Raw genomic sequence first — 19,558 nt, forward strand, 5'->3', positions numbered from 1 at the left:
CTCATGGCCCATCACAGGAAAAGTCACTTCATGGATCAATGTCTGGAGAGGGTACAATGTCGGTGTGAGATGAATGAATACTAAGTGAGTACTCTTCATGTTTTCTTCTAACTTTATATTTTAATATAATTTCAGATTTAGAGAAAAGTTGCAAGAATAATGAAGGATGAATTATCAGGGGCTCTTCTTCCAAATTCCCCAAAACATGCACATTAAACTCAGGGCCTTCTGTGTCCTCTGCCCCTTTCTCTCTCGATATGCTTGAGTGTGTGTGCATCATCTTCTGAACCATCTCCAGTTAGTTGCAGATGTGGTCCTCTTTTGCCCCCAAATCTTCAGTACATAGTTCCTAAAAAGAAGGACATTCCCTTATATAACTGCAATTCACTTATCAAAATCAGGAATTTGGCATAAATTCAATACTATTATCTACCCTGCAAACCTTATTTAGATTTTACCAACTTGTCCCAATAATGTCATCTACCCAAAAGAAAATCCGAGATCGTGCATGGCATTCCACTGTTACCTCCTTTCAATCCGACCAGATTCCTCCCTCAACACCTGGGGGGTACAGGTCAAGATGAGATTTGGGTGGAGACACAGAGCCTAATCATCTTAACCTCCTCTATTTTATTCATTCAACAAGCATTTACAAACAGCTGACCCTAAGCAAGCAACTGGAATTGAAAGACCAGCAGGAAAGTAATGGGATATCAACCCTCCCTCATCACACCATTTGCTTTTTACTTATTTATTTGCAACCGTAGTTTTACATATGATAAGTTCCTCCAAAGAGAAGAGGGAAGAGAACTCTGATCCCTCCCCTCTGAAGTTTAAATTATTAAAATACACCTTATGGACTGGGGTAGCCTCAACTGGAGCCCAATTGCTGAAAGGACAGGACAGACCCTGGGAGGAAGTTTGCCCTGGGATGGATAGCTGGGAATTAAGGGGCATGATGATAGGAGCCTGGACAAGTAACCAGGAATCAACCCTGAGAATTCTGTCCTCAGAGAATTCTGATCCATCATAACCCATTCATGGTCCAGCCACCTGGCACTGTGGTCATGCCTTGGAGACAAGATATGGTGTCCATCCTCAAGGAACTCATCACTGAAGAGCTCCTGGGACACTTGGGGACCATGTTTGTCATGTGATCATGTGCTTGCCAGGTGACTCCCCTGACTAAGCATAAGCAAAGAGCTGAGGAAGGTGAAGCTGTGCTCACAGGAGGTGGGCAGCTCTGCTGGAGCCATATCACTGCAGATATTCTGAAAATCACAAGGTCATCAGGGAAGGGTTCTTCAGGCAAGGAGAGGCAGAATGAAAGCCAAATCCTGAGACTGCGCAAGAACCTCTGGGCACCTGGGAAAATTTGGGGAACTAGAGAAAGCTGGACCCCTTCTGAGTAAATTAAGTGAGGGCTCAGAGCTGTTGCCATTTGAACAGGCTTCTATAGGAGAGACTGTGCTTGGGTCCAGGGAATGGAGAACTTCAGAATTAACATTCCCTGAATCCTTGGTCATTGCAATAGAGTTATCAGCCTTCAGACAGAAGGAAAGAGGGAAACAAAACTTGTCTCTTGGAATCCAAGTTCCCAGACACCAGCCAAGGACCAAACCCACAAGTAGCCTTTTCTAAGGACAGCAGTCTTCACTCTTTTCTACACATAGATCTTTTTACTGTGGCTGCTTTTTGAGATTTTCTCTTCATCATTGGTTTTAAGCAATTAGATTATGATATACCTTGATGCAGTTTTTACGTTTGAGGGTTTGGAAATTTTTGACCCATTATTTCTGCAAATTTTTTTTAGTATTCGTTCTCTATTTTTCCTTCCAACTTTTATTTTAGGTTTAGGGTACATGTGCATGATTGTTACATGGGTAAATTGTGTGTCACAGGGGTTTGGTGTACAGATTACTTCATCACCCAGGTAATAAGCATAGTACACAATAGGTAGTTATTTGATCCTCACCCTCTTCCTACCCTACACCTTCAAATAGGCCCCAGTGTCTACTGTTCCCTTCTTTGAGTCCATGTGCACTCATTGTTTAGCTCCCACTTGTAAGTGAGAACATGCGGCATTTGGTTTTCTGTTCCTGTGTTGATTTTCTCAGGATAATGACCTCTTGCTCCATCCATGCTGCTGCTGCAAAAAAACATGATTTTGTTATTTTTGTGGCTGTGTAGTATTCCATGGTATAAACGTACTACATTTTCTTTATCCAATTTACCATTGATGGGCACCTAAGTTGATTCCACGTCTTTGCTATTGTGATAATGAATGCTGTAATGAACATATACGTACATGTACCTTTATAGTAGAATGATTTATACTCCTACAGGTATATACCCAGTAATGAGATTGCTGCGTCAAATGGTAGTTCTGTTTTAAGTTCTTTGAGAAATCTCCAAATTGCTTTCCACAGTGGCTGAACTAATTTACGCTCCCACCAGCAGTGTATAAGCATTCCCTTTTCTCTGCAACCTTGCCAGCATCTGTTAGTTTTTGGCTTTTTAATTAGTCATTCTGACGGGTGTGAGATAGTATCTCACTGTGGTTTTGATTTGCATTTCTCTAATGATTAATGATATTGAGCATTTTTTCATATGCTTGTTGGCTGTGTGTTACATCTTCTTTTGAAAACTGTCTGTTCATGTCCTTTGCCCATTTTTTAATGGGGTTGTTTGGTTTTCGCTTGTTAATTTGTTTAAGTTCCTTATAGATTCTGGTTATTAGACCCTTGTTGGATGCATAGTTTGCAAATATTTTCTCCTATTCTGTAGGTTATGCAGAAGCCCTTTAGTTTAATTAGCTTCCATTTATCCATTTTTGGTTTTATTGCAATTGCTTTAGGTGTCTTTGTCATGGAATCTTTGCCAGGGCTTATGTCTAGAATGGTATTTCCTAGGTTACCATCAGACCTGCCTTACAAGAGATCCTTAAGGGAGGGCTAAATATGGAAACGAAAAACTATTACCAGCCACCACAAAAGCACACTTAAGTACACCATTGACGCCATGAAGCAACTACACACTCAAGTCTTTCTCCTCATCCAGGTACTCAAATTACATTTACGTTAAAATTAAAATTGTCCCACAGCTCACTAAAATTCTTCATTTAGGGGTCTTTCTTCTATGTTTCATTTTGGATGGTTTCTATTGCTATATCTAAAAAAAAAAAACTTTTCTTCTTCAGTGTCTAAATGGCTATTAATTCCATTTAGTGCATTTTTCATGTCAGGCATTGTAGCTTTCATCTCTAGAAATTTAATCTGAGTCCCTTTTTTGACATTTTGACACCTTTATTGAAGTATCTTCTAGAATTTTTATAGTTTCAGGTCTTAGGTTTAAGTCCTTAATCCATCTTGAGTTGATTTTTGTATAAGGTGGGAGATGAGTATCCAGTTTCATTCTCCTACATGTGGCTTGCCAATGATCCCAGCACAATTTGTTGAAAAGTCTGTCCTTTTCCAACTTTAGGTTCTTGTTTGCTTTGTCAAAGATCAGTTGGCTGTAAGTATTTGGGTTTATTTCTGGGTTCTCTATTCTGTTCCATTGGTCTATGTGCCTATTTTTGCACAAGTACCCCACTGTTTTGGTGACTATGGCCTTACAGTATAGTTTGAAATCAGGTAGTGTGATGCCTCCAGATTTGTTCTTTTTGCTTAGTCTTGCTTTGGCTATGTGGGCTCTTTTTGGTTCCATATGAATTTTAGAATTTTTTTTCTAACTCTGTGAAGAATGATGGTGGTATTTTGATGGGGATTGTGTTGAATTTGTAGATTGCTTTTGGCAGTATGATCATTTTCACAATATTGATTCTACCCATCCATGAGCATGGGATATGTTTCCATTTGTTTGTGTTATCTATGATTTATTTCAGCAGTGTTGTGTAGTTTTCCTTGTAGAGGTCTTTCATTCCTAAGTATTTTATTCTTTCTTTTCAGCTATTGTAAAAGGGGTTGAGTTCTTGATTTGATTCTCTGCTTGGTCGCTGTTGGTGTATAGAAGAGCTACTGATTTGTGTACATTAATCTTGTATTGGAAACTTTGCTGAATTCTTTCATCAGTTCTAGGAGCTTTCTGGAGGAGCCCTTAGGGTTTTCAAGGTAACTGATGATATCGTTAGCAAACAGCAACAGTTTGACTTCCTCCTTACCAATCTGGATGCCCTTTATTTCTTTCTCTTGTCCAATTGCTCTGGCTAGGACTTCCAGTACTATGTTGAAGAGGAGTGGTGAAGGTGGGCATCCTTGTCTTGTTCCTGTTCTCAGAGGGAATGCTTTCAACTTTTCCCTATTCAGTATTATGTTGGCTGTGGGTTTGTCATAGATGGCTTTTATTACATTAAGCCTTTGCATGCCGATTTTGCTGAGGGTTTTAATCATAAAGGGATGCTGGATTTTGTTGAATGCTTTTTCTGCATCTGTTGAGATGATCATGTGATTTTTGTTTTTAATTCTGTTAATGTGGTGTATCACATTTATTGACTTGCATATGTTAAACCATCCCTGCATCCCTGGTATGAAACCCACTTGATCACAGTGGATTATCTTTTTGATATGTTGTTAGATTCAGTTAGCTAGTATTTTGTTAAGGATTCTAGCATCTATGTCAATCAAGGATCTCAGTCTGTAGTTTTCTTTTTTGGTTGTGTCTTTTCTTGATTTTGGTACTAGGGTGATGCTGGCTGCATAGAATGAATTAGGGAGGGTCCCTTCTTTCTCTGTCTTGTGAAATGGTATCAAAAGGATTGGTATCAATTCTTCTTTGAATGTCTGGTAGAATTCTGCTGTGAATCCACCTGGTCCTGGACTTCTTTTTGTTGGTAATTTTTTAATTACTGTTTCAATCTTGCTGCTTGTTATTGGCTGTTCAGGGTATCTAATTTTTCCTGATTTAAGCTAAGAGGGTTGTATTTCTCCAGGAATTTATCCATCCCTTCTAGATTTTCTAGTTTATGCATGTAAAGGTGTTCATAGTAGCCTTGAATGATCTTTTGTATTTCTGTGGTGTCAGTTGTAATATCTCCTGTTTCGTTTCTCAGTGAGGTTATTTGGATTTTCTCTCTTCTTTTCTTAGGTAATCTTGCTAATGGTCTATCAATTTTATTTATCTTTTCAAAGAATCAGCTTTTTGTTTCATTTCTCTTTTGTATTTTTTGTTTGTTTCAATTTCATTTAGTTCTGCTCTGATCTTGGTTATTTCCTTTCTTCTGCTGGGTTTGGGTTTGGTTTTTTCTTGTTTCTCTAGTTCCTTGAGGTGTGACCTTAGATTGTCTCTTTGTGCTCTTTCAGACTTTTTGATGTAGGCATTTAGGGCTATGAACTTTCCTCTTAGCACTGCCTTAGCCGTATCCCAGAGGTTTTGATAGGTTGTGTCATCACTGTCATTCAGTTCGAAGAAGTTTTAAATTTCCATTTTTATTTTGTTTTTGACCCAATGCTCATTCAGGAGCAGGTTATTTAATTTCCATGTATTTGCATGGTTTTGAAGGTTCCTTTTGGATTTGATTTACAGTTTTATTCCACTGTGGTCTGAGACAGTGCTTGATATAATTTCAATTTTCTTAAATTTACTGAGGCTCATTTTATGGCCTATCATATGGCCTAACTTGGAGAAAGTTCTATGTGCTGTTGAATAGAATGTGTATTCTGCAGTTGTTGGATGACATGTTCTGTATATGTCTGTTACATCCATTTGTTCCAAGATATAGTTTAAATCCATTGTTTCTTTATTGACTTTCTATCTTGATGACCTATCTAGTGCTGTCAGTGGAGTACTGAAATTCCCCACTTTTATTGTATTGTTATCTACCTCATTTCTTAGGTCTATTAATAATTGTTTTATAAATTTGGGACCTCTAGTGTTAGATGCATATACATATAGGATTGTGATATTTTCCTGTTGGACAAGGCCTTTTACCATTATATAATGTCCTCTTTGTCTCTTTTAACCGCTGTTGCTTTAAAGTTTGTTTTGTCTGATATAAGAATAGCCACTCCTGCTTGCTTTTGGTGTCCATTCGCATGAAATGCCTTTTTCCACCCCTTTACTTTAAGTTTACGTGAGTCCTTATGAGTTACGTGAGTCTCCTAAAGGCAGCAGATAGTTAATTGGTGAGTTCTTATCCATTCTGTGGTTCTGTATCTTTTAAGTGGAGTATTTAGGCCATTTACATTCAATGTTAGTATTGAAATATGAGGTACCATTGCATGCATCATGCTCTTTGTTGCCTGCATACTTTGGGTTTGTTTTTCGGTTGTGCTTTTTAAACTTCTATTTTTGTTTTATAGGTCCTGTGTGATTTATGCTTTAAAGAGGTTCTGTTTTGATGTGTTTCCAGGATTTGTTTCAAGATTTAGAGCTCCTTTTAGCAGTTCTTGTAGTGGTGGTTTGGTTATGATGAATTCTCTCAGCATTTGTTTGTCTGAAAATGACTGTATCTGTCCTTCATATATGATACTTAGTTTCACTGGATACAAAATTCTTGGCTGATAATTTGTTTAAGAAGGCTGAAGATAGGGCCCCAATCCCTTCTACCTTGTAGAGTTTCTGCTGAAAAATCTGCTGTTTATCTGACAGGTTTTCCTTTATAAGTTACCCGGTGCTTCTGTCTCACAGCTCTTAAGATTCTTTCCTTTGTCTTAACTTGGGATAATCTGATGACAATGTGCCTAGGCGAAGATCTTTTTGTGATGAATTTCCCAGGTGTTCTTTGTGCTTCTTGTATTTGCATGTCTAGGTCTCTAGCAAGGCCAGGGAAGTTTTCCTTGATTATTCCCCCAAATATGTTTTCCAAGCTTTTAGAATTGTCTTCATCCTCAGGAACACTGATTATTCTTAGGTTTGGTCCTTTAACACAATCCCAGACTTCTTGGAGGCTTTGTTCATATTTTCTTATTATTTTTTCTTTGTCTTTGTTGGATTGGGTTAATTTGAAGACCTTGTCTTCAAGCTCTGAATTTCTTTCTTCTACTTGTTCAGTTATATTGCTGAGACTTTCTAGAGCATTTTGCATTTCTAAAAGTATGTCCAAAGTTTCCTGATTTTTTTACTGTTTTTTTCTTTAGGCTATCTATTTCCTTGAATATTTCTCCCTTCACTTCTTGTATCACTTTTTAGATTTCCTTGCATTGGGCTTTGCCTTTCTCTGGTCCCTCCCCGATTAGCTTAATAGCTAACTTCCTGAATTGTTTTTCAGATAAATCAGGGATTTCCTCTTGGTTTGGATCCATTGCTGGTGAACTAGTGTGATTTTAGTGGGGGGTGTCGATGAGCCTTGTTTTGTCATATTACCAGGGTTGGTTTTCTGGTTCCTTCTCATTTGGGTAGGCTCTGTCAGAGGGAAGGTCTAGGGCTGAAGGCTGTTGCTCAGACTTTTTTGTCCCATGGGGTGTTCCCTTGATGTAGTACTCTCCCACTTTTCCTGTGCATGTGGCTTCCTGTAAGCTGAACTGCAGTGATTGCTGCCTCTCTTCTGGGTCTAGCCACCTAGCGAGTCTACCCAGCTCTAGGCTGGGACTGAGGGCTGTCTGCACAGAGTCCTGTGATGTGAACCATCTATGGGTCTCTCAGCCATGTATACTAGCACCTGTTCCAGTGGAGGTGGCAGAAGGTGCAATGGACTCTGCGGGGGTCCTTAGCTTTGATGGTTTAATGATCTATTTTTGTGCTGGTTGGCCTCCTGCCAGGAGGTGGTACTTTCCAGAAAGCATCAGCTATAGTAGTGTGGAGAGGGACTGGTGGTGGGCAGGGCCCTAGAACTCCCAAGATTATATGTCATTTTGAGAGGTGAAGCCGGCTGGGCTTCTGGGTCGGGTGGGGACTTGGAGAACTTTTCTGTCTAGCTAAAGGATTATAAACACACCAATCAGTGCTCTGTGTCTAGCTAAAGGTTTGTAAACGCACCAATCAGCACTCGGTAAAATGGACCAATCAGCAGGACGTGGGCAGGGCCAAATAAGGGAATAAAAGCTGGCCACCGAACCAACAGTGGCAACCCGCTCAGGTCCCCTTCCATGCTGTGGAAGCTTTGTTCTTTCTCTCTTCACAATACATCTTGCTGCTGCTCACTCTTTGGGTCTGCACTACCTTTATGAGCTGTAACACTCACTGCAAAGGTCTGTGGCTTCACTCCTGAAGTCAGTGAGACCACAAACCCACCAGAAGGAAGAAACTCCAGACACATCTGAACATCTGAAGGAACAAACTCTGGACACACCATCTTTAAGAACTGTTAACACTCACTGCAAAGGTCTGTGGCTTCACTCCTGAAGTCAGTGAGACCACGAACCCACCAGAAGGAAGAAACTCCAGACACATCTGAACATCTGAAGGAACAAACTCTGGACACACCATCTTTAAGAACTGTTAACACTCACTGCGAGGGTTCGTGGCTTCATTCTTGAAGTCAGCGAGACCAAGAACCCACTGGAAGGAACCAATTCTGGGCACACTTTGTCTACAGCTACCAGGTTGGGTAGGGAAGGACTATCAGGTGGGGGCAAGGCTAGGCGTGTATGAGCTCAGACTCCCCTTGGGCAGATCTTGCCGTGGCTGCTACAGGGGATGGGGGTGAGATTCCCAGGTCACTGGAGTTGTGTACCTAGGAGGATTATGGCTGCCTCTGCTGAGTCATGCAGGTTGTCAGGGAAGAGGGGAAAAGCCAGTCACAGGCCTTATCCAACTCCCATGCAAACCCAAGGGTCAGTCTCACTTCCACCTTGACCCCCGCAACAGCCCCAAATATGTTTCCAGGTGGAGGGCAAGTTGAGCTTGAAGACTTGCCCAAGGCTTTCTGCCTCCCAGCTGGGAAAGAAAAGGGCTTTAGTTCTTCCCCCGCCTGAGAAGTCTGCAAGCCAGATTCGTGCCCTCCCCCAAGTTCTGGCCCAGGCTTCTCGCCCCGTTCAAATTGTTACAAAGTTCATCTAGAAAAGTCCTTGTCCCTGTGGAGTTTTACCCCCTGCTCCTCTGGCCACCCTCCTGATGGATCCCGGTGGTGCCAGGCAGGAATGGGCTGCTTCGGGATCCACTGAGCTCCCAGGGCCTCCCTGCTGCTTCCTCTACCCCTGTATTTCGCTCAGCTCAGCTCTCTAACTTGACTCAGCTCCAGGTAAAGTCAAGAACTTCCTCAAACAGACCTTCAGCTTCTCCACTGGGGGCGTGTGTTCGGGAGAGGGGGGTCTCCCTTTCCCACTTCTGCAGTTGGGGCACTCACAGTATTTGGGGTGTCTCCTGGGTCCTGCAGGAGCAGTCCACTTCCTTCAGAGGGTCTGTGGGTCCTCTCAGGATTGCTGGTTTGTTCTTGCAGTCGACCTGGGGCTAAAATTCACAATGCAAGCCTCAGCACGCTGCTCTGTCCGGAGCTGCAACCTAGTCCTGCCTCCCATCCGCCATGATCCCTGGTCTTGCTAATATTTTACTAAGGATGTTTGTGCCTATATTCACAAGGGATATTAATCTGTAGATTCCTTTTTTATACTGTCTTCTCTGGTTTTGCTCTCGGGGTAATACTAGCTTCATAAAATAGACTTGAAAGTGTTCTCTTCTGTTTTCTGGAAGATATTTTATAGAGTTTTTAAAATTCTTCTTTAAACATTTAGGAGAATTCTCTGGCAAAATCATCTGGGCATGGAGACTTAATTTTTGAGAAATTTCAAATTATAATTTTGGTTTCCTTAATAGTTTGTAGGGCTAGTAAAAAGATCTATTTGTGATAGTGTGTGTTTTTTGAAGAATTGATCCATTTCATCTAGGCTGCTAAATTTAAATTATAATTTTGATTTCCTTAATAGCTATAGGGCTAGTAAAAAGATCTATTTGTGGTATTAAATAGTTGGTGTTTTTTGAAGAATTGATTTATTTCATCTAGGTTGTCAAATTTATGTGTGTAGAGTTGTTCAAAATACTCCCTTATTATTCTTTTGGTGTCTGCAAGGTCTGTAGTGATATCTCCTGTTTCATTACTGATAATAGTAATCTGCTCTCTCTCTCTCTCTCTCTCTCTCTCTGATCTTATCAAGGAACTAGCCCTTTGCTTCACTGATTTTCTCCATTGTTTTCCTGTTTCCAGCTTCACTGATTTTGCCTCTTATTTGTATTATTTTATTCCTTCTGCCTTGGATTTAGTTTTCTCTTCTTTATCCAGGTTCTTGAGATGGGAGCTTCAATTATTGATTTAGACCTCTTTTCTAATGTATTCATTTAGTGTTATATATTTCCCTCTCGGCCCGCCTTTAGCTGTGTCCCATAAATTTTGATATGTTGTGTTTTCATTTTCATTCAGTTTAAGGTACTTGTTCATCTTTTTCAGACTTCCTCTTTGACTCAAAGACTCTACAGAAGTGTGTTGCTTAGTTTTCAAGTGTATGGAGATTTTACTATTATCTTTCTATTATTAATTTCTAGTTTGATTCCATTTTTGTCTGTGAACAAAATTGTCTCTGTATGATTTCTTTTAAATTTGTTGAGATTTGTTTTATGGCCCAGAATGTAGTCCATCTTGGCATATATTCTGTTGGCACTTGAAAAGAATGTATGGGGCCAGGCGCGGTGGCTCACGCTTGTAATTCCAGCACTTTGGGATGCCAAGGCGGGTGGATCACCTGAGGTCCAGAGTTCGAGACCAGCCTGGCCAACATGGTGAAACCCTGTCTCTACTAAAAATACAAAATTAGCCAGGTGTGGTGGCGCACACCAGTAATCCCAACTACTTGGGAGGCTGAGGCAGGAGCATTGCTTGAACCTAGGAGGTGGAGGTTGCAGTGAGCCGAGATCACGCCATTGCACTCCAGCCTGTGTGACAAGAAAGAAACTCAGTCTAAAAGAAAATAAAAAAGAAATGCTGATCCTTTCCAGAAACACATTCACAGACACACCCAGAAATAACACTTTACCAGCTATCTGGGCATCCCTTAGTCAAGTTGGTAAGTAAATGAACTGTCACAGATATTTAAGAGTTTTTTTTGTTTGTTTCTTTTTTTATTGTTGTTGTTGTTGTTGTTATTGAGACAGGGTCTCACTCTGTCTCACTCCACCCAGGCTGGAGTGCAGTGGTGTGATCTCGGCTCACTGCAACCTCCACCTCCGGGGTTTAAGCAATTCTTGTGGCTGGGCCTCCCAAGTTGCTGGGATTACAGGCATATGCCACCACGCCCGGCTAATTTTTGTATTTTTAGTAGAGACAGGGTTTCACCATGTTGTCCAGGCTGGTCTCAAAGTCCTGGCCTCAAGTGAACCACCCACCTTGGCCTCCCAAAGTGCTGGCATTACAGGTGTGAGCCACCATGCCTGGCCAACAGTTCTTTCCTTAATGCACCTGAAAAATATTGCTCCACTTCCTTCTGGCCTCCATGATTTCTGATGAGAAATTTTTTTCCCATTCAGGTTGTTTCTCTTGTATAAGATAAACATTTTTCCCTGGCTGCTTTCAAGGTTTTTTTTGTATTTAGTTTTCAAAAGTTTAGTTATGATGTGTCTTGGAATGAATTTCTTTGGGTTTATCTATTTTGAGATTTGTTCACCTTCTTGAATATTTAAGCTTATGTCTTTTGCCAAATTTGGGAATTTTCAGCAATTATTTCTTCATATACTTTTCCAGCCCTGCCCTTTTATTTCCTCTCTCTAGGACTCATGATAGGAATGTTGGATCTTTTGTTGTAGTCCCATGAATTCCTGAGACCCTGATCATTTTATTTTCAGTCTATTTTTTTTCTATTGTTCATATTGGTTAATTTCTTTTTCTTTTTTCTTTTTTTTTTTTTTGAGACGGAGTCTTGCTCTGTCGCCCAGGCTGGAGTACAATGGCGTGATCTCGGCTCACTGCAACCTCTGCCTCCTCGTAAAATAGAGTTTTCTCTTCAAAAAATTCCTCCCCATCTAATTAAGAATAAATAGTAACTTCCCTTAAAAACAAAATTTATTCAAAGACCTGTGCTAACATTCTTAAATATCTGCTAGCTGTAATAAATCAATGAACTTTATGTTCTTAGCTCCCACAGTTTAGCCTAAATATTTGCCCTGGCATACTTATACTGGTCCAAACAAGCATTGGGTCATAGCCTGTTCCTCTTCCTTATTTAAAGGTGTTTTTACCTTTCCCAGCATTCCACAGGTTACTTCCTCCTTTCTTTGTTCTCCTCTGCCTTTGCCCCTTTTAAAAGTTCTAAGTTGCTAGCCAATCAGGACAAATACAAAATATGAGGTCCCGTTCCGGCCAATGGAAACTGAACACAGCAGCAGGGTAAACACGTCAGGCATCAGGTTATAAATGACCCTGTCTCCTTTGTTCAGTATACTCTCGTAACAAAACTGCTGGCAACTGTACCCTTTCTATAAAAAGTATAAAAATGGCCTTACTGAGAACATTAAATTTATGTTCAAGTACAGTTTCTTTACAGCACTGGGGAACAAACATTTCAAACAAGGCGATTCTCCTGCCTCAGCCTCCCGAGTAGCTGGGATTACAGGTGCCCGCCACCACGCCCGGCTAACTTTTTGTATTTTTAGTAGAGACGGGGTTTCACCATGTTGGCCAGGCTGGTCTCAAACTCCTGACCTCGTGATCCACCCACCTTGGCCTCCCAAAATGCGGGGACTACAGCTGTGAGCCACTGCACCCGGCCCATATTGGTTATTTTCTAATATTCCGTCTTCAAGTTCACTTGTCCCTCCGCCTCCTCTGCTCCACCTCCATTCTGCCGTTGAGCTCATCCATTGGGTTTTTTGTTAGCTCTTCTATATATTATTTATTTCTTTTTCTCTTATTTTATGAAACTTTCTATTTTTTTTTTTTTTGGCTGAGACTATCTTTTTTCTCTTTTTATAATATTTTGTATTTATATTATTGTTTTTTATTTTACTGCCTACAGCCCTCTTAAGAATTTTTTTCTTTTTTTAAATCACGTTCATAATTGCTCACTGAAGTATCTTTATGATGGCTGCTTTAATATCTTCAACAGATAAATGTAACGTCTCTGTCATCTTGCTGTTGGTATCTATCAATTGTCTTCTTTCATTCTGTTGGAGATCTTCCTGGTTCTTGGTAGGATGAGTGCCTTTTGATTGAAATCTGCACATTTGGGGTATTATGTTAGGAGACTCTAGATCTTACTTAAACCTTCAGTTTAGTTACCTTTTTCTGATACCACTCTAGCAGGGCAAAGAGGGGTTTGCCGCCTCATTACTGCTAGCTGGGGGTAGAAGTCCAGGTTGCCACCATTGACACCAGAGGGGGGTTCCTCATTACTGCTGCCCAAGAGTGGGAGCTTCGGCCCTCTGCTAGGCTTCTGCTGCTCTCTCCTGGGTGGGAGAGGCAGGAGTGCCTTGTTATTGATCCCCACAGGGTCCCACTGACACCAGGTCCAGGGGGACCTCATTACTTCCAGGCAGTGGTGGCAGTCCTGACTCTCTCCTTGGCCTCCTCTGACACCACCCCAACCAGAACAGGGAGGGGTGGCTAATTACTGCTGGGTGCAGCTCCCCACATAATCTCCACTGTCACTGTGGCTGGGTGAGAGTGGGGCCTCATTACTATGCAAGGGGACGAAAGCCCCAGCTTCCTCTTGACCTTCCCTGACACCACCTGGGATGGGAAGGGGGTGCAGGAGGGCAGGGTTGAGGTGCTCAAAGAAAGTGGAAGTCTGGGCTCCCCACTCAGCCTTTGCTGGCACAGGTGGTATGGGTCCACCGCCTATTCTGTGGTGTTTGACTGGAGTGGAGCAATTATTTTCTTTTTTTTTTTCTTGACATGGAGTCTCGCTCTGTCGCCCAGGATAGAGTGCAGTGGCACGATCTCGGCTCACTGCAAGCTCCGCCTCCCGGGTTCACACCATTCTCCTGCCTCAGCCTCCTGAGTAGCTGGCACTGCAGGTGCCCACCATGCCCGGCTAATTTTTTGTATTTTTTTAGTAGAGGCGGGGTTTCACCGTGTTAGCCAGGATGGTCTCAATGTCCTGACCTCGTGTTCCACCTGCCTCGGCCTCCCAAAGTGCTGGGATTACAGGCGTGAGCCACCGCTCCCGGCCGTATTTTCTCAAAGTTCTCTGTCTTGCTAGGGGGTGGCTGGCTAGAAAGAGCATGCTTCTGTTGGGCTTTGTGTGCCCCTGTTGGCTCTTCCACATTGCCCACTCCTCCAGCACCCCATCTGGTATATATCAGGCAAAAGGAAACCCCAGGGAACTTCTTCAGGTCCTGAGGTCCCCGGTTGTTCTGCCTTCTTCTCCCCACCTTGCAGTATCTTCTTGCATTTGTTTTGTATGTAAAATCCAAGGTGTTTAGTTGTACTTAGCAAGGACAGGAAGAAGCACATCCACGCCATCTTCCTGGAACCAGATGACTTCTTGAGTTCCTTTTACATCTTTTGTGTCCCTGCTCGGCACACTTAATCTTCCCTCCACCTTCTTGAACATATGGAATATAGTTATAATGACTGTGTTTATTGTCCTTGTCTTCTAATTCTGTCATCTGTGTCTTTTCTGGGTCTGTCTATATGGATTGATTTTCCTTCCCATTGTGGGTCACATTTTCCTGCTTTTTTTCCATGCCTGGTGATTTTTTTATTGAATGCCAGGTATTGTGAATTTTACCTTGTTTGGGCACTGGATATTTGTATTCCTATAGACTGTCTTGAGCTTTGTTCTGTGACACAGTGAAGATACTTAAAAACAGTTTGATGCTTTCAAGGTTTGTTTCTAAGCCTTGTTGGATGGATCAGAGAGGCCTTTACTCTAGGGCTAATTTCCCTCACTCCCGAGTGCACCACCAGATGTCCGTCCTGGCTGATGGGAACCCATATGGTTCCAGCACTCCACGAGCTACAGAGATTGTTCCCTCCAGTCCTTCAGGTGGCCTTCTCCAGCATTGGGTGCTGTCTTTGCATGCATTAGCTGATCACTATTTGCTGAAGATGCAAGAGGGACTCTCACAAGAGCTGGAACTGTCTTTCCAGTTAGCGCTCTCCTCTTCCATGCTCTGCGTGTGAATGCCAGCCACTTTGGCCTCCCCAAACTCCCCACTCCATCTCCTCAACTCAGAGATACCATGGGGCTCCAAAGAGATCAATAAACTGTTCTGGAAACTCTCCAGGCATTAAGCCAAGGCAGCCATAGTTTGTCTCCCTGTCTCGGAGGTCACTCCCTTGTGCTGCCCGATGCATAATGTCTGAAAACCATTTTAGACTTTTTTTTGCTGGTTTGTTTGTTTGTTTGTTTGTTTGTTTTCATTATCCCAGGCAGCAGGGGAAATCTGGTCCCTGTTACTCCAACTTAGCTGGAAGCAAAGTCTCCCAAAGACATAATTTTAAGTGAGCAAAACAAGTTGTTAACAAAATCATGTGTCATTTAACAACAGGGATACAGTCTGAGAAATGCATCATTAGGTGATTTTATTGTTATGCAATCACCAGAGAGTGCACTTACACAAACCTAGATGGGATAGCCTATCACACACCCAGGATACATGGTATGGCCTATTGCTCCTAGGCTACAAATGTCTATAGCATGTAACTGCTCTGAATACTGTAGGCAATTGTAACACAATGGTATTTGTGTTACAATTGTATTGTATCTAAACATATCTAAACATAGAAAAGGTACAATAAAAATACAGTACAAAAGGTTGCAAAATGGTACACCCGTATAGGGCACTGTGTTAGCCAGTTCTTTCATTGCTACAAAGAAATACCTGAGGCTGGGTAATGTGTAAAGAAAGGAGGTTTAATTGGCTAATGGTTCTGCAGGCTTTACAGGAAGCATGCTGCTGGCATCTGCTTCTGGTGTGCCCTCAGGAAGTGAACAATCAATCATGGCAGAAGGCAATGGCGAGAGCAGGAGCAATGGGCAGGGGAGGTCGGGACTTTTTTTTTTTTTTTTTTTTTTGGAGATGGAGTCTCGCTCCGTCACCCAGGCTGAAGTGCAGTGGCGCAATCACAGCTCACCGTAGTCTACACCTCCCAGGTTCAAGTGATTCTCCTGCCACCTTCCCGAGTAGCTGGGACTACAGGCGCTCGCCACCACACCTGGCTAATTTTTCATATTTTAGTAGAGACAGGGTTTCACCACGTTGCCCAGGCTGGTCTCGAACTCCTGAGCTCAGGCAATCCACCCACCTTGGCCTCCCAAAGTGCTAGGATTACAGGCACGGGCCACTACACCCGGCTGGTCCCAGACTTTTAAACAACCAGATCTCTAGTGAACCAGCTGAAGAAAAACTCACTTATCATCAAGAGGATGGTGCTAAACCACTCATGAAGGATCCCCCCCCATGATCCAGTCACTTCCCACCGGGCCCCATCCAATGCTGGGGATTACATTGCAACATGAGATTTGGAGGTGACAAACATCCAAACCGTATCAGGCACTTTCCATGAATGGAGCCTGCAGGACTGGAAGTTGCTCTGGGTGACTGGGTGAATGAGTGGTAAATGAATGTGAAGGCCTAGGGCATTACTAAACACTAATGTAGACTTTATAAACACTATACACTTAGGCTATGCTAAATTTATTTTTATAATTTTCTTTTCTTTTTTTTTGAGGCAGAGTCTTGTTCTGTCACCCAGGCTGGAGTGCAGTGGCACGATCTTGGCTCACTGCAACCTCTGCCTCCCGGATTCAAGTGATTCTCCTGCCTCGGCCTCCTGAGTAGCTGGAATTACAGGCACCTACCACCACGCCTGTCTAATTTTTGTATTTTTAGTAGAAACGGGATTTCACCATGTTGACCAGGCTGGTCCCGAACTCCTGACCTCAGGTAATCCACCCACCTCAGCCTCCCCCAAGTACTGGGATTACAAGCGTGAGCCACTGCACCTGGCCTTTAATTTTCTTTCTTTAATAATAAATTAACCTTGCTACTGTAACTTTTTTACTTTATAAACTTTTTAATTTTTTTTAACTTCTTGACTCTTACCAATATTTTGTACTGCATGTAATCAAATATGGGCTATACTGCTTCTCCTGCAAATAGGTGATCAGAACATGGACAGGAAAGACACACCAATTTCTATTCCTCTGAGAAGGGTGCTGGGGATAGATCTGGGGCCTAAACTGTGTTCATGTGTTTTCTTAACTAAAACAATTTTTTTAAAAAAAAGAATCTGAAGCCATTATAGTAGAATAATGTTAATATGTATTCACTCTGGGTGGTGGGTACATGGATGTTTGTACTTTGAAATATCTTCGCATTTTTAAATATTATTCTGTGAAAAGAAGGGGAAGACAAAATGTAAAATGTTACTGCTATTTTAGAATTTGTCTAGCAGGTTTTCCGGTCTTCACCAGAAAACCCCTAGAAAGAAAAAGAAAAGAAAAAAAAATATTTTAATGGAGAGAGTCACCATGAGATACAAATGCACAGATGGGAGGGAGAGGCAGCAGTTCTGGAGGAGAAGGTAGGGGCTGGCCCAGGTCCTTCCAGGTTAAGTACAAACCCTCAGCATGTTCCCAACCTTCCCTGAGAACTCTCAGGAACTGACGCCACATACCAGAAAATGCCACTGCTTGTCATTCCAAAGACACAAGGCAGTACTGACCCTCCTTACCTCCTTTCACCCAGTTTCTCCCATCAGGAATGTCCTCCCATCCTACCCCACCACATTCCAACCCACAGACAAGGACCAGCTCAAAGGCCCCCTCTTCCCTGAAGCTGCATGTACTAGTTCATTTGCATTGTATAAAGGAATACTTGAGACTGGGTAATTTATAAATAAGAGGGGTTTACTTGGCTCACAGTTCTGCAGGCTGTACATGAAGCATAGTGTCGGCATCTGCTTCTAGTGACGAAACTTACAATCATGGCAGAAGGGGAGTCAGCGTGTCACATGCAGAGAGCTGGAGCAAGAGAGAGAGGAGGAAGTTCCAGCCTCTTTTAAACAAGCAGATCTTACATGAACTCGTAAAGCAAGAACTCATTCATTATGCATATCTAGAGAGAGAACTCACCCATTACAGGAGCACAGCACCAAGCCATTCATGAGGGATCTGCCCCCCATGACCCAAACACCTCCCACTAGGTCCACCTCCAACCATGAAGGTCACATTTCAACATGAGATTTGGAGGGGACAAGACATCCAAACCATATCACCATATCAACCGGGAGGTCCTCTTGGTTCCAAATGACAGAGGAGCAAACCGGTCAGCTTACACAAAGGGGAGTGGGGGAGATGCTTGGCTCACATGACATAACACTGAAGGGGCAGGGGCAGGGGCAGGGACCTCAGGGATGACTTGATCCAGGTACCAAGCATCTCTGAGCCTCTCTCTGTGTCTTTCTGATTTTCACAGTCTCTACCCACATGGCTTGGGGCAGCCCCTCATAATCCTCACCACTTGAGAGCTACAAAGGGCCTTTTGACTCCTTCTGAAGTTTTCAAACACCTGCAGGAAAGCTCAAGTGGATGTATTATGATTACCTTGGCTGGAGTTATCTGCCCACTCCTGTAGCCTGGGCAGTGGCCTTTCCTGCTACAGACAATGGGGGATGGACTGGGCAAACCAAACCCATTGCCAATACAATGCCTATAACTTTCTTTCTGTTTTTTTTTTTTTTGAGACGGAGTCTTGCTCTGTCACCCAGGCTAGAGTGCAGTGGCGCGATCTTGGCTCACTGTAAGCTCCGCCTCCTAGGTTCATGCCATTCTCCTGCCTCAGCCTCCCGAGTAGCTGGGACTACAGGCACCTGCCACCACATCCGGCTAATTTTTTTGTATTTTTAGTAGAGACGGGGTTTCACCATGTTAGCCAGGATGGTCTCGATCTCCTGACCTCGTGATCCACCTGCCTCAGCCTCCCAAAGTGCTGGGATTACAGGCATAAGCCACCGCGCCCGGCCTACAACTCCTATAACTTTCCAAAACAATTCTCATCTGCCTCCTCTGAGTCCCAAGAAAAGTTTTTTGTCCCACTCTTCATTCAGTGACATCTAATCAAAAGGATTCTTTGAAAACTGTATTCACCATGTGCCCAGAGGGACAAAGATGACTTAGAAACAGGCCCTGTCCTTGAGGAACAGGGGAACAAGGTGTGTAAAAGGATTGTTGCAATGCAATATGGGAAATGCAGTAATAGATACATGTTACCAGGTGTGTGGGAAAATAAGATGACTTGAAGAGGGGGCATTCAAATTAGATTATTTTCGTGGCTTTATCTAATCTTTTTTAAACAGTTTTATTGAGGTATAATTGATACGCAAGGAAGTGCACATATTTAATGTGTAAAACTTGATGACTGGGTCATATGCAAATACCCATGATACCATCATCAAAATCAAGGTAATAGACACATCTGCCACCTCCCAAAGTTTCCATGTGTCCTTTTGTTTTTGTTTTTGGTGTTTTGGTTTGGCTCGGTTTTGGTGGTTAAAAAAACACTTAACATGGTAGTTTTGGTCAGGTGCGGTGACTGGCTCATTCCTGTAATCCCAGGACTTCGGGAAGCCAAGGCGGGTGGATCACCTGAGGTCAGGAGTTAGAGACCAGCCTGGCCAACATGGTGAAACCCCGACTCTATTAAAAATACAAAAATTAGCCGGGTGTGGTGGTGCGTGCCTGTAATCCCA

The 19,558-nt window shown here is 42.6% G+C and overlaps 1 protein-coding gene, 1 long non-coding RNA gene and 1 pseudogene across 7 annotated transcripts in view; 2 read left to right on the plus strand and 1 right to left on the minus strand.

Annotated features, from left to right (window-relative positions):
* Positions 1-100: 100 nt before the first annotated feature.
* Positions 101-19,558, minus strand: part of LOC105373017 (uncharacterized) — a 28,883-nt gene continuing 9,425 nt past the window's right edge. For 4 of the 6 annotated variants that reach the window (XR_938210.3, XR_007068086.1, XR_007068085.1 and 1 more), the window contains 2 exons: positions 17,722-17,831; positions 101-349 (listed from right to left, as the gene is read on the minus strand). This is a non-coding gene — a long non-coding RNA (uncharacterized LOC105373017). Of the gene's footprint in view, positions 350-17,110; positions 17,201-17,721; positions 17,832-19,558 lie in introns of those variants that run through there. The other 2 variants (XR_938212.3, XR_938211.2) reach the window with 2 other exon arrangements.
* HMGXB4 (HMG-box containing 4) overlaps positions 8,994-19,558 on the plus strand; it is a 54,272-nt gene continuing 43,707 nt past the window's right edge. Inside the window, exon 1 of the mRNA XM_047441067.1 lies at positions 8,994-9,118. The gene's annotated coding sequence lies outside the window, so the exon portion shown is untranslated. The remainder of the gene's footprint in view (positions 9,119-19,558) is intronic.
* RNU7-167P (RNA, U7 small nuclear 167 pseudogene) lies at positions 17,230-17,291 on the plus strand (annotated as a pseudogene).

The sequence above is a fragment of the Homo sapiens genome, chromosome 22, assembly GCF_000001405.40.
Source record: "Homo sapiens chromosome 22, GRCh38.p14 Primary Assembly".
Taxonomy (NCBI): Eukaryota; Metazoa; Chordata; class Mammalia; order Primates; family Hominidae; genus Homo; species Homo sapiens.